This window comes from Homo sapiens, chromosome 7, assembly GCF_000001405.40.
Source record: "Homo sapiens chromosome 7, GRCh38.p14 Primary Assembly".
NCBI classification, from domain to species: domain Eukaryota; kingdom Metazoa; phylum Chordata; class Mammalia; order Primates; family Hominidae; genus Homo; species Homo sapiens.
In genome coordinates, this window is record NC_000007.14 from 79,696,653 (window position 1) to 79,716,903 (window position 20,251).

Below are 20,251 nucleotides of genomic sequence, written 5' to 3' on the forward strand. Positions count from 1 at the left end.
GCTTTTTATTTTTGAGAAAGAATTGCTCTGTCTTGCAGGGTAAAGTCTGGTGGTGTAATCATAGCTCACCATAACCCTAAACTCCTGGACTTGAGATCCTCCTGCCTCAGCCTCCTAAGTAGCTAGGACTACAGGAGTGTGCCACCATGCCTGGCTAATTTTAAAATGTTTTGCAGAGACAGAGTCTTGCTGTGTTGCCCAGGTTGTTCTCAAACTCCTTTGGTCAAGCAATCTTCCCGCCTCAGCCTCCTGAAGTACTGGGATTACAAGTGCAAGCCACTATGGTTGGCCCTTTCCAGCTTTATTGAGGTATAACTGGTATATGAAAAATTGCATATAACTAATGTATACAATTTGGTGAGTTTGGACACATATATATACAGTCGTGTTCCAGTCACAATAGTTGAGGTAATAAACATACCTATTACCTCCAAAAGTTTCCTTTTCTTCCTTTTTTGTGTTTTTTGGTTGTTGTTTTGTTTTGTGGCAAGAACATTTAGCATGAGATCTACCCTCTTAATAAAAAAACAGTGCTAGTTCAATTTATACAATACCGTATTGTTAACTATAGGCACTATGTGATACAGTAGATCTCTGGCATTTTCTCTTGTGTAGTGTGTCATTACATCAATTGAACAACTCCCCATATTTTCACCTAACTTCATCTCCTAGTGTCCACCATTCTGTTGTCTAACTTCTGTATATTTGGCTAGATGCCTCATGTAAGAGCAGCCATGAAATATGTCTTTCTTTGACTGACTGACTTTTAGCATAACTTCTTTCAGGTTTATCCATGTTCTTACAAATGATCACCTTAAATTAAAAAAAAAAATTGCTAAAACAACAATCACAGAAAAAGAAAGTTAATACATCAAATTACTGCCAAAATTATTTTAACATCACCCTTTCCAGAGGCAAAGCTTGTTCAGAATCATCCAGTGGGGAATATTTTCCCACAAAATTTAACTTGGAAAGATCCAGCCTAAAATAACTCTATTTTAAACGTTATTTCAACATATTTTAACGAAGCCCTATGAATTATGAAAATAGCCTTCTGATAATACTAATAATATGCCTGAATAAGACCTTGTAACTTGTTGCTTGCTAAACAACTTCTTTTCAGATGCTTCACAATTGATATTTGATATAGGTGAAGCAGAAATCATCTCGAGGAAATAGCACTGAACAGTAATGCCCTGAAACACAGCATTTGTTGTCTCCAAGCCACTGTTAAGGTCAGGACTGGAATAAAGAAAATCACAATGTATCATGAAATCTCAGGTTTGGTTCTACATAATTTTCGGCCTGCTTTTGAATTTTTTTTGTTTCAGCTAAGCTTTCTGGCCCCCAGATCTGCACCTGACCTTTACCACCTCCTCATCATCCACTCTGGTCTGCATCCTCTTGACCGCGTCTGAGTCTCCTTTGGGGCTGGATGTCTGCTTCAGCATTAGGAAATGGACACATCTATAGAATCTCTCATGGCAACACACCAAGTAATTTTCTGGGCAATTTTATACTTTTATAAGAATGAAAGATGTTTTGATTCCAAAACATTCTGCCCTGTTCTCTAATCATTTTAGTCTTTTAAAGCATATTGTCTTGGAATGGTTAAGATGTTTTGCTCATCAATTTCTTTGTAGCCCAACAATTTATAACAGTATTTCTAAATTTCCAGAAAAATGCTATTGTATTCTTTCTTTTCTGCAGTTCCTCACGATTGTCACAGAGCCTGTGTTAGGGAATTTAGTCAGAGATTGTCACACAGGATTTACTTTAGAATCACCTGGGAAACTTTCAAAAATTCCAGAGGCCTGGTATCACTCCCAGAAATATGATGTAATTGGTCAGCACAGACTTAGACATCAATAATTTTTAAAGATCCCAGGTGATTCTACCATGCAGACAGAGATGAGAAACACTGAATTAGATCATTTCCAGAAGCCACAGAATAAAATGTAAACTCTTCTTCCATTCTTTAGGTATTGTAAACTTCGTCCTTTCAACAAGTTATATTACTAAAAATCGACAAACTGAACTCACATGAATGTGTACTTACAGAGTTGTGGCTCCTGATTCTATTTAAGGTATGTTAAAGTAAAAGCAGTTAGAATATGGAATATTTTTTTCCCTTGACTATGCCAAAGAAATATTGGTGAGGAATGTTGTGGCTTATTTTTTGTTCTTTCTACATTTTATTTTGTAAAAATTTAAATATTTAATCATGCTCTTCAGTCCTTTACCCATTTTAAGTCTTTTAGTAAGGTTTTATAACTTTAAACATACAGATACTGCATATTATGTATTAGGTTTATTTTAACATTTAACAGAGATTTGTGACTGACTATTATGAGTATGAATATATAATAAATTATTACAAATTCTAATCAGTTACGCTGATGTGGAATATTTTCAAGTGTTGATCTTGTACCCAGTTATCTTATCCAATAATCTATACTTTCAGTGAGCTCTAATTGATTTCTTGTAAGATAATATTATAAAATGACAAATTTGTAACCCTTCCAAGTCACTGATTTCCAATATTTATATCTCCTTTTATTTTTAATTTTTCTTGTTCTTCAAAACTGTTTAAGACTTGGCGTACATTTTAAATAAATATGGTGATAATGAATGGAGAGATTATTGTTGGTAACTATTCATCTGTTCTCTCTTTTATTTTATTTATTTACTTTTAATTTCTTTCTTTCTTTCTTTCTTTTTTTTTTTTTAAGACAAAGTCTCACTCTTTTGCCCAGACTAGAGTGCGGTGGTGCACTCATAGCTTAATGCAACCTCCACCTTCTGTGCTTAACTGCTCCTCCCAAGCATGCGCCACCATACTCGGCTAATTCTTTCTTTCTTTCTTTCTTTTCTGCTCTTTCTTTCTTTCTCTCTTTCTTCTTTTCTTTTCTTTTCTTTTTTTTCTTTTCTTTTCTTTTTTTTCTTTTCTTTGGAAAGATGGGGTTTTGCCACATTGCCCAGGTTGGTCTCCAACTCCTGAGCCTGAACTCAAGTAATCCGCTCACCTCTGCCTCCCAAAGTGTTGAAGAGATTACAGTTGTGAGCCACTGAGCCTTGCCTGTTTCCTCTTTTAATCAATGACTTGATTTTTAAAATGAGAAAATTCAAAATTCTCCAAATATCTCATTTGCGTTAAGGGCAACTGACCTAAATTCCACTTTGAAGTTTCAAATTTTATTGTTCAAGAGTAATAATGACTGGTTCAACGATACAGGCCTCAGCCAATCATCATACAGCATTACCCTTAGGCAAAATGAAGGATATAAATTGAATATATGAACTAAGATGAGGCTAAGAGACATGGACAATGACTTGCTGGAGGATTTTGGAAATGAAGTTTCTTCCCTCTTAAAAGAGATCCACCAAAAGAGATAGGTTTCCTTCTTCCTGATGTAGGGGTCAGATGTCTGACATTATACTATAGCCACTTTTCCATCAGGAAAAAAAAAAAAAATTGAGGCTGGCAATGAAGCAAGCACAGAGTGAATTTGAATAAATTATATTGGACAGAATTACTGAAAAACAGAGATAGGGTGACTAGATCAAGCCAATCTTGAAGCCTGACTTCTATCTGGTCTTCCAGTTTTGTGAGCCAAAAATTTTTCTTAACATATAAGAAAGTTTATAAGGTAGAATGTCAAGGACAACAGAAGGTAAAAAGCCTAAAGTAATAGTCTTGTTTTTAGCAAAAATCTAGGCATTGATAAGGTTTAGAAATTTATAAAGGAGATCAAATAGGGGAATAGGTCTTAAGAATTTAGATATAATCATTCAAATAAAAAATTGCCTCACAATTCCAACTTTCAAGTTATCAGAAAAGAAATAATGACAAAAATCTAACTAATGAAAGGCAGGTCAGGAGGGGGAAAATAAAAACAATAAGCAGTAATAGAAAAATGCAAATTAACCTTCTTTGCACTTTTGTAAAATTAAATCAGCTTAAAACTCAGTAGCTTGAACAGAGTCTGAAGAACTGAAAATACATCTACTACTACTTTATAAAAATACAAAAGTTGTTTTTGGAGTGTAAAAGATAATGGGTACTTTTTCTTGAGAAAGTGAGGGTTTATTGCTTGGCTTTCTTGCATGATGTATTAGTATCACACTCACATTTTCATGCATACTTATCTAGTTACCAGTATATGATAACTAACATGAAATGCTATTTTTCATTTTGAGATGGGCGTATTTTTAACTGTGTACTTTTTAGAGAAAAACCATTATTTTTTCATACATTTTCATAGTCATTTCACATTCAACAACAAAAAGAAGTAAATAAAACACTTAACATTTTAAAGTGCTTTTCATATTATTCTGTGTCATTAGAAATGAAAAAAAGTCTTTTCCATTACACTGATCTTCATTTTCCTGTTCTGTATTCTGCTATGAGTTCTCTGTTTTTCAAATAAAATTTATGTGTTAAATAACAAATAAATGTTCCCCTGCTTTGTTATAGATTATATTACAGTTTAAATATGTTACATGTTTAATATTTTATGTATGTTTATTATATGTAACATATATGATTTATGTATATATATACTACAAATATATTAATGCTATTATATGACTAAATAGAAAAGCAAATTGTAGTATCTTTCTTACTCAAGAATCTAGACATGTTGTCCTGGGAATGTCTTTTCAGAGTAGGTGACATTAGAGCATAGAATTTAATATATTGAGGACACGGGCAAGACTACCATTAATATATATGCTTAATTTGGTGCAAAGTCTCCCTTAATATAATTCAAGCTCCACAAGGTCAGATTATGTTTATCTTTTATGCTACTCAATAGTCAGTGCCTAGCAAAGTGATTGGCTCTTAGTAAGTATCTATGATGGATAATTTTATGCATAACTTGATCAGTCTAAGAAATGTCCAGGTAGCTGGCAAAACATTATTTCTGAATGTGTCTGTGAAGGTGTTTCCAGGAACGATTAGCACTTTAAAAAACATTTTCACTTTTATTTTAAATACAGAGGGTAGATGTGCAGGTTTGTTACACGCATATATTGCATGATGCTGAGGTTTGGGGTTCAGATCCTGCCACCCAGGTAGTGAGCATAGTATCCAATAGGTAGCGTTTCAACCAACACCCCTTCCTTCCCTCCCCCCCAGTAGTCCAGAATGTCTATAGTTCTCATATTTATGCCCATGAGTACCTAATGTTTAGCTCCCACTTATAGGTGAGAATATATGGTATTTCCTTTTCTGTTTCTGTATTAATTCACTTAGGATTGTGACCTCTAGCTGCATCCACGTTGCTGCAAAAGATGTTGTGTTATTCTTTTTTATGACTACATAATATTCCATGTTGTATCCTTTACCCAATCCAATCTAATGTTGATGGACACCTAGGTTATGTCATGTCTTTGCTATTGTGAATAGTGCTGCAATGAACATTATGAGTGCATGTGTCTTTATGGTGGAACTATTTATTTTATTTTGGGTATAACCTAGTAATGGAATTGCTGGATTCAATGGTAGCTCTGTTTTCTTTTAAGTTCTTTGAGAAATCTCCAAACTGCTTTCCACAGTTGTTGAACTAATTTACATTCCAACCAACAGTGTATAAATGTTGCCTTTTCTCTGCAGCTTCATCAGCATCTGCTATTATTGGAGTTTGTAATAGCCATTCTGACTAGTGTGAGATGGTATGTCATTGTGGTTTTGATTTATATTTTTCTGATGATTAATGATGATGAGCATTTTTTCATTGCTTTGCTGGCTACTAGTATGTCTTCTATATTAGTCCATTCTCACACTGCTAATGAAGACATACCCGAGACTGGGTAATTTATTTAAAAAAAAAAAAGAAGTTTAATTGGTGCACATGTCCACAATGCTGAGGAGGCCTCACAATCATGGAGGAAGGTAAAGGAGGAGCAAAGCCACGTCTTACCTGGCGGCAGGCAAGAGAGCATGCACGCTGGAACTCTCCTGTATAAAACCATCAGATCTTGTGAGACTTATTCACTAACATGAGAACAGCATGGAAGAAAACCTGCCTCCATGATTCAATTACCTTCCACTGCATCCCTCCCACATCACATGGGGATTGCTACAATTTAAGGTGAGATTTGGGTGGGAACACAGAGCCAAACCATATCATCTTCTCTCAATGTATAGAAATCAATAAATGTGATGCACCGCATAAACAGAATTAAAAACAAAACACATATGATTATCTCAATAGACACGAGAAAAGCTTCTGATAAAATCCAACACATCTTCATGATAAAAACCCTTAACAGATTAGAGGCATTGGAGGAACATACCTCAAAATAATAAGAGCCGTCTGTGACAAATCCACAGCCAACATCATACTGAATAGGCAAAAGCTGGAACAATTCCCCTTGAGTACTGTAATAAGACAAGGATGCCCATTCTTATCACTCCTATTCAACATAGTATTGGAAGTCATAGCCAGAGCAATCAGGCAAGAGAAAAAAAAAAAGACAACCAAATAGGAAAAGAAGTTACCAAACTATCTTCACTGACAATATAATTATATAACTGGAAAACCCTAAGACTTTGCCAAAAGACTCCTGTAACTAATAAATGACTTCAATGAAGTTTCACAATACAAAATCAATGTACAAAAGTCAGTCGCACTTCTGTAAGCAAGTAACTTTGAAGCTGAGAGCCAAATCGAGGACACAACTCCATTTATAGTAGCCACATAAAAAACTGAAATACCTAGGAATACAGCTAACCAAGGAGAGGAAATATCTGTATGAAGAGAACTACAAAAGACTGCTGAAATAGAGATGACACAAGTAAATAAAAGAAATTCCATGTTCATGGATTGGAAAAACTAATATTGTTAAAATGGCCACACTGCCCAAAGCAACTTACAGATTCAGTGCTATTCCTATCAAACTACCAACATCATTTTTGACAGAATTAGAAAAACTATTCTAAAATTAACATGGAACCAAAAAAGGGCCCAAATAGCTGAAGTGATCCTCAGCAAAAAGAACAAAGCATCACATTACCTACTTCAAAGTAACTTTAAGGATACAGTAACCAAATCAGCATGGCACTGGAACAAAAACAGACACTTTGACCAAGGGAACAGAATAGGGAACCCAGAAATAAAGCCGCATACCTACAGCCATCTGACCATCAACAAAGCCGACATACCAAGCAATGGGGAAAGGACTTTCTATGTATATGGTGCTGAGATAACTGGCTAACCACATGCAGAAGAATGAACTGGGCCCCTTTCTTACACCATGTACAAAAATTAACTCAATGTGGATTAATGATTTAAGTGTAACACCTCAAACTATAAAAATCCTAGAAGAAAACCTAGGAGATACCCTTTTTGACATCAGCTGGGGCAAATTATTTTTGGCTAAGTCTGCTAAAGCAATTGCAATAAAAGCAAAACGGACAAGTGGGAATCTAATTAAATGAAAGAGCTCCTGCACAGCAAAAGAAGCTATCAACAGAGTAAACAGACAACCTACAGAAAATATTTGCAAACTATGCATTCAACAATGGTCTGATGTCCAGAATCTATAAAGAAGTTAAACAAATCAATAAGCAAAAAACAAATAACACCATTAAAAAATGGGCAAAGGACATGAACAGACACTTCTCAAAGAATTAGCATTTGAGTCAGTAAACTGAGTAGAGAAGATCTGCCGTCACCAGCATGGGTGGGCATTATCCAATCTGTAGAGGGACTCAGTAGAACAAAAAGGCAGATGAAGGGCACATTCTCTCTTTCTCTTCTTGAGCTGGGACATCCATCTTCTCCTGCCCTTAGACACTGGAGCTCTTTTTTCTTGGGTCTTCAGACTAAGATTTACACCAGTGACTGCCCCCCTCAGGTCTTTGGCCTTGGACTGAATTATACCACCAATTTGCCTTGGGTCTCCAGTAAGAAAGTGGTATCCAAATAGCATAATAAGGGACTTCTCAGCCTTCATAATCATGCAAGCCAATTATCATTAATTTTCATATATATACTGTTAGTGCTATTGCTCTAGAGAACCCCGACTAATATGGCACTCCATAAATATATGTTAAATAAGTGAATGAATACATGAAATAAGAAGAGTCTGGCTCTATCCGCAGTATAATTACAATATTCTATTTGGTCCAGATATGTAGATTTCTTTACAACAACAAATAATGAAATGTTGAAAATGAACATTAACAATTTAGATAGTATTTCCTAGAGAAATTCTGAAGAATTCTATGCACAGAAATAATAATAATAAAGGCTTCCAGATGTCACCACAAATGAAATAATCACCTCTCTGACTCTGGAAGTGATCCCAGAGAGTGTGCACTCCTCTGTGGCCTCCATAATACTCTATGGACTTGGAAGCCCCTATTGTGGTGTGAATATGACAGTTATGGCCAAGGGATGCTTAGGGTTTGATTCAAGGCTGTTAAGAGCAAAGAAGAAACAATAAAGTGTTGCTGTCTGCCTACCATGCCCCAGGGCAGCATAAGGGGCACTAGAGAATGAGAGAAAATGAAATAATTATTACCTATGAAAACATAGTCTTTCTTAGTTTGGATAGAAAATTCTAATAAGATTTCCAGTAGAACGGTCATATTGCCATTTCCCAGTTTCTATTTTTCTAAGAGGAATGAGGCTACAAGAGCCAGACATAGGTAGAACAAAGCATCCAGAATTGTATTCTATTAGCCTTTCCCAAACTTGATTATTTTTTTTCTATGTTTACTTGTCATTTGTGACAAGTAAAAGTCAACTTTTGCATAGTATCTAAATAACAACAACCCAATTCCTCACCCATCATGTATGTTAGAATCCAGTTACTCACCAAGGGAATTGGTCTGTGTATTGTTGAATCACTGTATCACTGTGTCTGTGGAGGAAAGGAGTGTTCAGAACTTGCTGATCCACCACTTTGCTGATATCCAGCATTATTTTTAAAATAATACCAAAGATGTCACTTACTATGTGACCTGGTAATGTGAGAAGCATATACTTATTTTCACACAGGGTTGTTGTGGCTGTGAATTAATATTCTCTGTTTGTAAACAACAGAAATGAACTCTGACTAACCACCAGGAAAAACAAGAACAAAGCAGCCCTTCAGATTTAGATTTTGTGAACTAGTAAACAATCTTTTTAAGGCACAGTCATTGTGGGAGAATCATTAGCTCCAATTGTGATGCTTTGCACAAGATCCAAATTGAAGGGGAACTTCACTTTCTAGCTTCGATTATTTTTCCTTCTTAATTGATAGTTTTACAAATTCTTAATTGACAGTTTTACTAAGACTGCTTATAATGAAAGAGGTAATTCTAAAAGAAAAAGAGAGTACTTTTAGCAAGAGAAGGAGAAATGCTTTGTGGGCAAAAATAACAGAGGCCCACTAAACATCTTACATGATTTTTTTTTTTTTTTTTTTTTTTTTTTGAGAGGGAGTCTCACTCTGTCACCCAGGCTGGAGTGCAGTGGTGCGATCTCGGCTCACTGCAAGCTCCCCAGTAGCTGGGACTACAGGCACCTGCCACCACGCCCGGCTAATTTTTTGTATTTTTAGTAGAGACAGGGTTTACACAGTGTTAGCCAGGATGGTCTCAATCTCCAGACCTCGTGATCCCCCGGCCTCGGCCTCCCAAAGTGCTGGGATTACAGACGTGAGCCACCGTGCCCGGCCTATGATGTTTTTCAATTTTTCAAATGATGATATCTTCACTCGATTTTTTCCAAACTTGTTCACCTTTCTTACTCCAAAATCTTTGTTGTATTTCAGTAGCTAATAGAATAAATTTAAAATGTATTAACATTATGTTTGAGGATCTTGTTAATCTGAACTCAGCTTGTACTTTCCATCTCTTATCTCTTTCCACTTTTACTTCCCTCTTCACCAATGTACTCCTACCATTATTCATCCTGGTCACATAAGCCTATTCCAAATTTTCCAAATATATAAGTCACTCGTAGAACTTTATATATGCTTGCCATTTGCCTGGAATGCATTTACATCTCTCTGTCTATCTCTTTCTCTATCTGTCTCTCTCTGTCTCTGTCTCTCTCTTTCTCTCTGTCTCTCTCTCTTTCTCTCCCTCCCACTCTCTCCTCACCCCAACAACTCCCCCAGCTCAGATAGTTTATAAGATTATTATCTCAAGGAAGAAGGAACTTAGAGAAGTAAAGTTATCTGACAAACACCCCAACATAGATGCTTAAGGGCCCACCACAACATTCTGGGTAAGCTTTGTCCAGTTTGTGTGCTGTCATCTTCAGTAATAGAAAATTTACTGCTTCCTGATGCAGCCCATTTGACATTGTGATATATTTGGCTCTTGGAAACCTCTGAAAAGACAAGGCTGGAAAAACACAACTCATTCTTTAAGGTCTAAATCATGTGTTAATTATTCTATGAAACCTAGTCTGATATCCAGAATAAAAGTAATCACCCATATGTACTCCCAAAGTTCTAATATTATTATATTATACTACCATTATTTTATACATACATATATATATATATATATCTTTTTTTGAGACAGAGTCTCGCTCTGCTGCCAGGCTGGAGTGCAGTGGCGCAATCTCGGCTCACTGCAACCTCCAAATCCCTGGTTCAAGCCTCCTGCCTCTGCCTCCCGAGTAGCTGGGATTACAGGCTTGCACCACCACACCCAGGTAATTTTTGTATTTTTAGTAAAGACGGAGTTTCGCCATGTTGGCCAGGATGGTCTCGATCTCCTGACCTTGTGATGAACCCACCTCAGCCTCCCAAAGTGCTGGGATTACAGGCGTGAGCTACCACGCCCAGCCTTATATTATTATATTATACTAATGTCCATTAGTATTTGTTCATAGTAATATTATTCTATTATTATACTAATCATACTATCATACTAATATTACCATCTACTACAATTACTTTTGCTTGCCTTTACTTCCAAGCCTGCTTTTGATTTTCTTATAGATAGGTACTGTGCATTAACTTTCGCTTTCTAGTGCAAACCAGTGGAACCAATTTCCCCGACCCCGGATACCAAGGGACAATTGTAAACTATCTGATTCATTTCCCTATTAGACGAGAACGATAATCTTTTTGGCTAATGATGTTATCTCCTAACAGCTTCTTAGAGTTTGAGGTTATACAAAGTCAGGAGTACTACCATCACTGACATAGTGCCTTCATTATTTGCAAGACATCGTTCATAAGCAGTGCTAATATATATATTTTAGATTTTTAATGTTAACATCTTTCATTCACTGGTGTATATTAACAAAAATAGAGTATACTTGTCTTCTTAAATGTAGGCCTTTTACACTGTTATTACTCTAAAATTCAAATTTCTTTCCTTGACCACTACTCCTATTTCTTCTGTCTTGCTCCAACGTATTTCTATTATTACTTTTTCAACACGTGTCTAGTAAATAAAATAGCGGTAGAGATTGTAGATGACATTTTAAAAAGGCAAAGGAAAACTTACTAATTAACAATAATTATCATAATTTTATAGTCAACAGCTACCTTTCAATTTTCTTTGAAAAAAGTGACATGTAAAAAAAGTGTTCTCACAGAATCAAGTAGACAAGTAAAACATTATTGGAGGGGACATTTGGGAGTACACAGGATATCTTAAGAAAACTTGACAAATGTGAAAAACAAAAGTATAGCAGGAAATAGGGGCTCCTAAACCCACCTATCCCTGTGGAATAAAATGCTCGCCCTCACTTTTTTCTTAAACAGCCCTCAAATAGACTTCCTCTAAAACCATCTTTCTCCAGGATTGCTATGTACCTACCCTTTCTGTGACTAACTGGAAGAGTTGCTTATTTCCCCTGTCCCTACTACTCAGCAAGAAAGAATAAGAACAAACACAGACTATTCAACTACAAAACATAAGCTCATAAATAATGTAAAGATATAGCTACACATTAATAAGATTGATTTTCCCGAGGGACATTAAGAAAACAGTTTATTAGTGCGTAGTCCCAACTCATTTGTATGTATTTATTTATCTCTATTTTTATCATAAGAATAATAAATCTTCAAGGTGAACAAAGTCAAATACTACAAATATATCACAGAGTGAACATTCATTAATATTGATAAAGATCTTTGAAATTTTCATTCTATGTTATCTTAATGATAACTTAGAACCTTTGAGAAAAGTTTACATTATGCCCTTTGTAATAAGGCAGATAAATGTACAGCAAATATATGCTCTCTAATAGGTATGTACTCATACCTGGAAAAGTTATATGTGTGTGTCTGTGTGTAAATTTGTTTCCTGAAATGGCCAGATAAATGAGTCATTCGTTAATCAGGAAATAATAGTCAAATAATCAAGAATGTGTATTTTTACATGAATTTACTGTATGAAGATAATACCCAATCTTGGTGAGGAAAAGATGAAATAGGCACATTCTTATTTTTTTAAAATGAGAATATGTAAGGGTGACCTAGAAAATATACCATAGAAATTTGTCCTAAGAAAATAATTTATCTTAACAAATTTATCCTGAGAAAATGCTCAAATACTTATGTATAACCATTTCATTTAGTATTATTTTTACTAGCAAAAATTTAAAACTTGCTAAACTTCCAAAGTGGGAGTCGATCAAAAAACTATAGCTAATTCATTTAATAAAAAACTAGAGATTCATTAAAAATTATAATGCCATAAGTTTATAATAATGGAAAATATTAAATTAAAAAACACAACTACTTTTATAGTTTGTTTCTTTATTTCATCATTTTTCTGCATTTGCTAATTTTTATTTAAAAATCATATATCAAAATGAGCCATTATCAAATAAAAATATTGATAATGTTTATGGCATGTACAGTTCCTCAACATCTTGCCCATTCCCTTGAGTACTATATTGAACTTATGTTGTAAGAGCAAAGAGAACACACTGGTATCTACACAGAAATATAAGAGATTTTTGTAACTTGTATGCAAGGTTTAGTAGATTGGGCTCCCACAGGGAAGAAATCCAGGAGGCACCATTCCTATTGTAGTCAATGTGAAAAATTCCCATTGAGTTTACACAGTGCACAATAATCTGCATGGCTAGATGAGGAAGCCTTGGTAGGAGGCCAAGAAATGATGAAAAAGAGAAAGAGCCAAGGGATTTCTTGCTACCAGTATCAGAAGGGATGGGTGTTACTCCAAGTCAGGGTCCAGTAAACTATGGCCTGCAGGCCATAAAAAAGGTTTTTCTGGAACACAGCCATGCTCACTTGTTTACCTATTATCTATTGCTGATTTTATGCTATAACAAAAGAGCTGAGTATTTGTGAGGATATAGCCCACAAAGATGAAAATCTTTACTATGCTACTCTATACAGGAAAGGTTTGCCAACCCCTGCTGAAGTACACTGCAATCGTGAAAACAAATCAAGTAATAAAACCCAACAAGTAAATAAAAAAACCTCATAGGGTATAGTGGATATTACTATTGCCCATAAATATTTCCGATTCTCTTTTCCTTTCAGGCATATAGGAGGATTGCTCTTTTTTGACTCCTCGAACTTTAAGCAATCCCATAGGTCTTCCTTTGGCAATAAAATGTGAGCAGAGGTACCATGAATCACTTCCTGATTGAAGTGTTAAAGTGAATGTGTGTGGCTTTTCATGCTGTGCCTTATCTTGCTGCTGTGGTTATCGAAGCTCTGACGATATGGAGGTGTAACCTGGGATACTGACTTCCATCATGTAGGTCAGTTGTCCTGGAGAATTACCTAAGCCCAGCAGAAATTGTGTGAAAGATAAATAAATCTTCAATGCATTAGGTATTGAGATTTGGGGGCTGTTTATTACCATAATATTTACCCCGCCTATCATGACTAAGAGAACGACTTTTTTTATAATGTGTTAATAGCTAGTAGATTCACGGTAAAAAAAATAATAATAATAAGTTAAAAAACAACAGAAAGCCATTTCTTCAACTGCCTGCAGAGCATGAACGTGATAGGTATAGGATTCCTCAAAAGACGTATTTATGACTGCTATCTTAAATAGAATTTTAGTAACTAGAAAACCATATATATTCTTACTAATATGCCCATATCTACATATTTTAAGTGGTAAATCACTATAGAATTCAGTTTGTCAAAGAATTATAGTCATAAGAAGAAAATTTTAATTAAATTAATAGAATAAGAAATAAAAATTGATATAATTCAGTTTTAATTATCAGGAATATATTACAACCTCAGTTTATTAAAAAAATCCTACATTTCATAAACTTTTGATTTTATTTTATTTTTTAAGCATTACCATCTGTGGTACAATGAAATAGCAAATTGACTGGAGCCAGTAGTCCATTATTTTAACAATTGTACAGATACAAATATAACAAAATATGTTTGTCTTTTTAAGTTGTAGCACAAAAGAACATGGGCTTTAAAACCGAAGCTTGGATTTGATGGAACTTTTTGTTTTCAAAGGAAAATTAAAAACTAAAATACCTAGATTTTGTTTCTCTCCTGAATTTGCTGGTGTCAGAGCTGGGTTAAATAAAGCTCACAATCTTGGTCTTTTCATGGCAGTCATGAATTTTCCATGAGGTTGAAATTGAGATAGCATGGAAGATGTCCCCATTGTGTCACACAGAATGTTTGAATTTGGTTTGGCCAACATTCTCCAGCACATAATCTTTTTATTCTCCCCAAAACCCTAAAGCACGATTTGTGAATCTGGCAAATTACTTAACCATTTAAATTCGAGATTCATAGTTTATTATATCAACTAAGTTTCTAGACTCTCTTGGATAAATCAAAGTAGTAAGCTTTGACAAACTGAAAAAAAAAGCTATCTAACATTTGATTAGTCTTGAGGAAATTCTGCTATTTTATTTACCCTGTTAAAAAAGAAGAAAATGGTATGCTTTCCATTTAGAAATTATTAAAAGTATAACTATGTTTTAAAAAATCATAAAGAAGAAATTGTTATATATGCATACATATATAAACAGATACACATAACCTACAGATGATAATTGGGAATTATTTTATAATGAGTTTATACTAATTATATCTTAAAAGAAAAATAGATAAGGAAAATAAATTCGGTCAGAACACACTTCAAAAGAAATAACTTCATCATAACCTTTCAATTACATCTTCATTATTATTCTCCCTGAACTGATGTGGCACATATTTTTTAAATTGAGTCACAAAGGATTTTTTTTTTTCAGACATAAATTGGTAAAACTATTTGGAGCATGAAAGAAAAGATCAAACGGGCCAACTGGGAACAAAACATAGTGATCAGAATTCAAGATAAGCCACAACACATAATAATCCTAATTACCAATCTTTAATTAAACTACGGGGAGAATTTATGTCCCAAATAAACTCTTTCTCACAGCTTTTTCTGACTTCAAGATTGAATGTTTCGATGTGTATAAATAACAGCCAAAGAGGAAGCTTATTATTTAGTGTCTTATCATTTATAGAAATCTAAAGTCAGAAATAACATATGTTAAATGCAAAGTTCAAAACAAAATATGATCTTCAGGGGTATTGTTGCAAAATATTTGAAATTAACAAGCTTATTAATTCTGACAAAACTGACAAATTTATGAATGCCCAACTGATGAATTAAAGAACAGAGTATATTTGCAATGCTTTTAATGAATTCATTTAGAAATAATCTACTGCTGCAAAGTAGATTTTTCTCTGGGGAATAAACAAAAAAGCCAAGTGGGTTTTATGTGGTTGGGTATGGTATTAATGTGAATTAGCCTCTACTTGAAAGAGTAGACCTACTCAAAGTATATTGAATAAATTTCATGTTTCCCATTGTCCTGGCTATTGGACTGAGTTTTGCTTTTTTCTGACCCCAGTTTTGCTCTCTTCTTGGAGAGCCTTAGTCAAGGAGGTAATTGCATTGAGTGTGATTTTTCCCAATAAGGAAGATCCAATGTTAATTTCCATATGTGTTAAATCTAATCAACATTGCACAGTGTTATAGTTCACCCAATAACTGAACGTTTTTTCTAAAACAATTTATTTTTGGTGTGGGCCTAATTATTTATTGCACTTCTTAGTTTTAGATTTTTTTCCTTTGCTTGATTTTTTTTTCAGAAATTTCTAGAGATGTAACATACTGTGGTGTAATATCTGACATTTCTTTGCTAGGATCTTAACTTCACTCTCACAGATGGACCCACCTGTGGCTACGTTTACACACTATGATCCTAGCTATTTTTCCTAGTGTTGGAATGTTGGTCTGAGATATGGAAATGGTGAGTAGCATTAGAAGGTTAGCCTTAGAAATAGTTCAGCTTTTAAGGTGGGGTAGTTAAACCCTGTCATTGAGACTAAGAGCTTTTCTTTGTAGAAAACTTGCAAGGAAATTTTCTCTTGGATTGGATTCTGTGAGACAAGATGGCCCAATGTTTCATATGAAATAGTTTTTATTTGTTGTTTACTTGTTTTGCTTAAGTCAATCTACGTTAGTGTCTATTCTCTCAAAAATTCTAATACCCAAGTAATACCAAAGCGTTGGCATTGGCAATCCAGCATAAATATCACCAGTGTTGACACTGCCTGTCATCACTTCAAAACATAGTTTACTGTTAAACATGAGACACAATGTCTTATCTGAGGAAGAAATACATATTGCTTTTGATGGCTTTGTCTGAACAGAGCCTTCTTACCAATGCCCCAAACTATCAAGCTATTTTAAGTAATGCAGTCTTGAGTGAACAACACATATTTTAATGAAAATTTTACAAGTAACATATGTACATTCTAGTAACAGTTAATGACATTCCTTGTTATTGTGATGACATTGTTCTCTATGTGACTGCAGGAAATTGGCTAAAATTGTGTGACAGCTGCTAGTGAACTCATTCAGACTGACAATATGCTAAAGTAGCTGTCTCTTTTAGTATAGAGAAGATATCTGGAAAAGTAATCTTTCATTTTAATTCTGAGAACTTGGTGATTTTGCATGTCCTGGTTCGATTTTTTAAAAATTAGATTCAAACCAGGTTACTTTATGTCATTCTTCCCTGTTACTTATTTACAAGAATAACAAAGAACCGAACCTTGATCTCCTAAAAAACGTTAACTCATAGGATACAACAGTCTTGAAAATGACAGTTTGAGAGAAACAAGGCCAATGATGAGTGAATTCTGGGAACATAAAGTGCTTTAAAACCCAAATATACATTCAATATGACAAAATTGACCTCCAGTAAAAGAAAAGTAAAATCTGCTTCTGGTCCTGAAATGCGTTATGCATTTTCTCCAGTGAAAGTTATGTTATCCTTTATTATCAGGAAACTTCTGCATTTTTTCCTTTCCCCAAACCTTAATAAGATCATGTTAAATAGTGTGTTAACCAAAGATTATTTATATAAATATTGCTTTTAATGATGCCATGAACTTTTTTGAAATAAAATTGCACAGTTTGGAAGCTCAAAGCAGCCACTGTTCTCTCTAGTTTCATGTCTCTTTCTTATTCCTTCCTAGCATATCCATTGGTGGTCCCCACTCTCCTGAGGGAGAGCTCTTAGAGACCAGCAACCACTTCTCATTTACCTTGGGTTATTTGAGTATACTTCCCAATGAATATTTTTTAATGATGAATAAAAAATAAGAAATTATGTATTTGATTGCGGGAGGCAGATATTTTTGGCATGTTGCCAGGAGGGGAGACACATTAATGTTAATGAACGTCCACACAAACCTTTTCTATCAAAGTTTTAAACACTTGAAAAAAACCTTCAAACAAGACTCTGTCTCAGACTTTAAGAGAATTACTGGAAAATAAGAAGAGCAACACAAAGAAGGCAATTCAATTAAAAGAAAAAATAAATATGGGAAAATGAAGAGGAGTAGATCTAGTTTCTTTAAGTTTTTGGTTTTCAAAGTTACTTCATAGAGGGAATGAGGCACAATCACAGGTTTCAACAGCTCAAGCCAAATACAAACACTTTAACAAATTATTTCCTCCATATTTTGTTGGACTGAATATGCTTTATATACAGATCACTGTTACTGAGTCGAATTACTTTTGTGAAAGGATATAAGTAAGATAAATATTGTATAACAATGAAAAAAAGTAATTCTTGGGGAAAATTAATGAGGATAATGTAGAGGTGACAAAAGCAGTGATAATCCTCCTTATATAGTCTTTGGAAACTATCCTTCACATACATTGAGAGTTCTATTAAAATAAGACCTGAATATTAAAACTTATAATAGAAATGTGTCTGAACTTGCAGTTGGAAGGTAATAAACTGCCATTTTTAAAGACAACTTTTGGAGGTTGGACAAAATGAAGACAACTCAAGGAAATATTGTTACTATTATTACAACTGCCACTAAACGTTTTATAGCAAATACATCAGGAAAACAAAATAATTGTATAAATGTATTGAGAAACATATAGAAAGAGATAAATGTAGATATTACCTCAATAAAGACAGCTTCAGCAGAGGAACAGCAATAACAAAACACAGATAGTTTTAAATAAAATGAACTATTGCTTGCCAAGGCTGCTGAAAAACAATATCTGATAGGAGCATATGTATGACTATGTTATTGGTAAGAAAATTATATGTAAAAATATGTGTATAGATACATATACACACACAATGATATGATTGTAATATAGATACACATATATAATACAATTGTAAAATAAATACACATATATATTACAATTGTATCCTATGCCTTACATAGCAGTGGTAAAAGGATCACCTGATTACATGATTACATATCCACTGGAAAATTGTTTTTCCATAAAAACCTTCTTAAACTTTTGGTCTCTAGTTGAATATGTTCTAAAGGAGACCTTATACTCCATACTATAATGACATTTTGACATGAAGAAGCAAAGAAGTTGTACCTTTCTTTGTAAACAACCATTATATCTAATTATTTTTCTAGTATTCATATCATTGCTAATTTATAGCCATTAATACCAATATGAATAACAATATAATTAAATGAAAACACTTTGAATTTCAATTATGTGATATTTGAAAATATTCCATTTTCAAAATGTTATTGACAGCAATTTATTGGCTATTTTCCAGACAGACCATTCATTGAGAAGTGCAGAAAAAAAGGAGAGCTACACAATTTACCCAAGAGGTATTTATAATCATTGGGTAACATCAAAATCGGCAATTATGTAAATTGGAAACCTTGGTTTTTATTCAGTGGAGCTGTATTAAATCTTCATTGGTACAGGAGAAAAGTGAGAGTTTAATTTTATACATTCTTTCGAATTCAATTTATGATCACATAAATGTGCTTTTCCATATTAACTTTCTCATAAAGAGCACAATTTTCACTTTGAGGAAAAATAGTATTTCAGTGAACAAATTCAAGAGCCCTTTATATCTGGCTTCAGTTATGGGAAAATAAATCTAGAAGTCCTGACTGTGTTGATTAAACTCTTATAACTTTACAAGATTAGAGCAAGAGTCTTTGAAAATAAAAAGTCTTGATTGATAATAATGTTGAAAATATTATTGTTAAAAACAAGGTCATCCATATGTATGATTAAAGGTGGAAAGAGTTTGAAATTCACCTCCAATTTCTCAGTGAAGTATGAAAGACAGCCAGAGAGTTTGTTCATAATATTTGCAAGTAGATTTTTAAAAATTTAGACTTGATACGTAATCTAAAACAAAATATTCTCAATCTTATGCTTAACCTCATGCCATAAAGTGAAAATGACGCTTTGAACTACCCTGGATAAATTTTAGAATCATTTTATTGAATAAATTACTGGAATAGAAAATGTCCTATATCTACTATTGCTTGCTTTTTTACTGCACCCTGCCCCATCCCACTGTTGATATACATTCATTCATTCATCCTTGTGCCTAATTTTCCCAAAGAATAAAAATTTTGCAAGATCAGCGTTGTCTGTTTTTTACTCCATGTATATTCACTTTCTGGATATTTTCCTGGTTTTATATTCAGTGTTGATAGCCATTTGTACACACAAAAAATATTAATTCCTAACTGTTTTCATATTTTTACCTATAATTTCCTAGCTTTCATCTGAGATTCTTACCCATATTCCTATGATTTATCATGTAGGGTATGCTGGTTAGTGTTTAAAAACTGACTCTCTAGAAGGAAAAAAAAAAGAAACACCCTTATTTGCAGCATTTGCTTATTTTATGGTTGGATATTCTCGCCATGGATGATGCAAGTAGCTTATAAAATTCCTGAAAATATACAAGCAACTCTATTGAGCTGGTACTAGCTAGTTCCAGCACACCAC

The 20,251-nt window shown here is 34.0% G+C and overlaps 1 long non-coding RNA gene across 3 annotated transcripts; it reads left to right on the plus strand.

Moving 5' to 3' along the window:
- The first annotated feature begins 266 nt into the window (after positions 1-266).
- Positions 267-19,812, plus strand: LOC105375370 (uncharacterized). Of its 3 annotated transcripts, none has more exons than XR_927705.4 (5): positions 267-309; positions 1,332-1,496; positions 1,983-2,087; positions 16,132-16,238; positions 19,047-19,812. It is a non-coding gene; the product is annotated as an uncharacterized LOC105375370 (long non-coding RNA). The 3 variants fall into 3 exon arrangements; XR_927706.4 differs by lacking the exon at positions 267-309 and adding an exon at positions 789-1,235; XR_001744960.2 differs by lacking the exons at positions 16,132-16,238; positions 19,047-19,812 and adding an exon at positions 13,483-14,025.
- Positions 19,813-20,251: the final 439 nt, after the last annotated feature.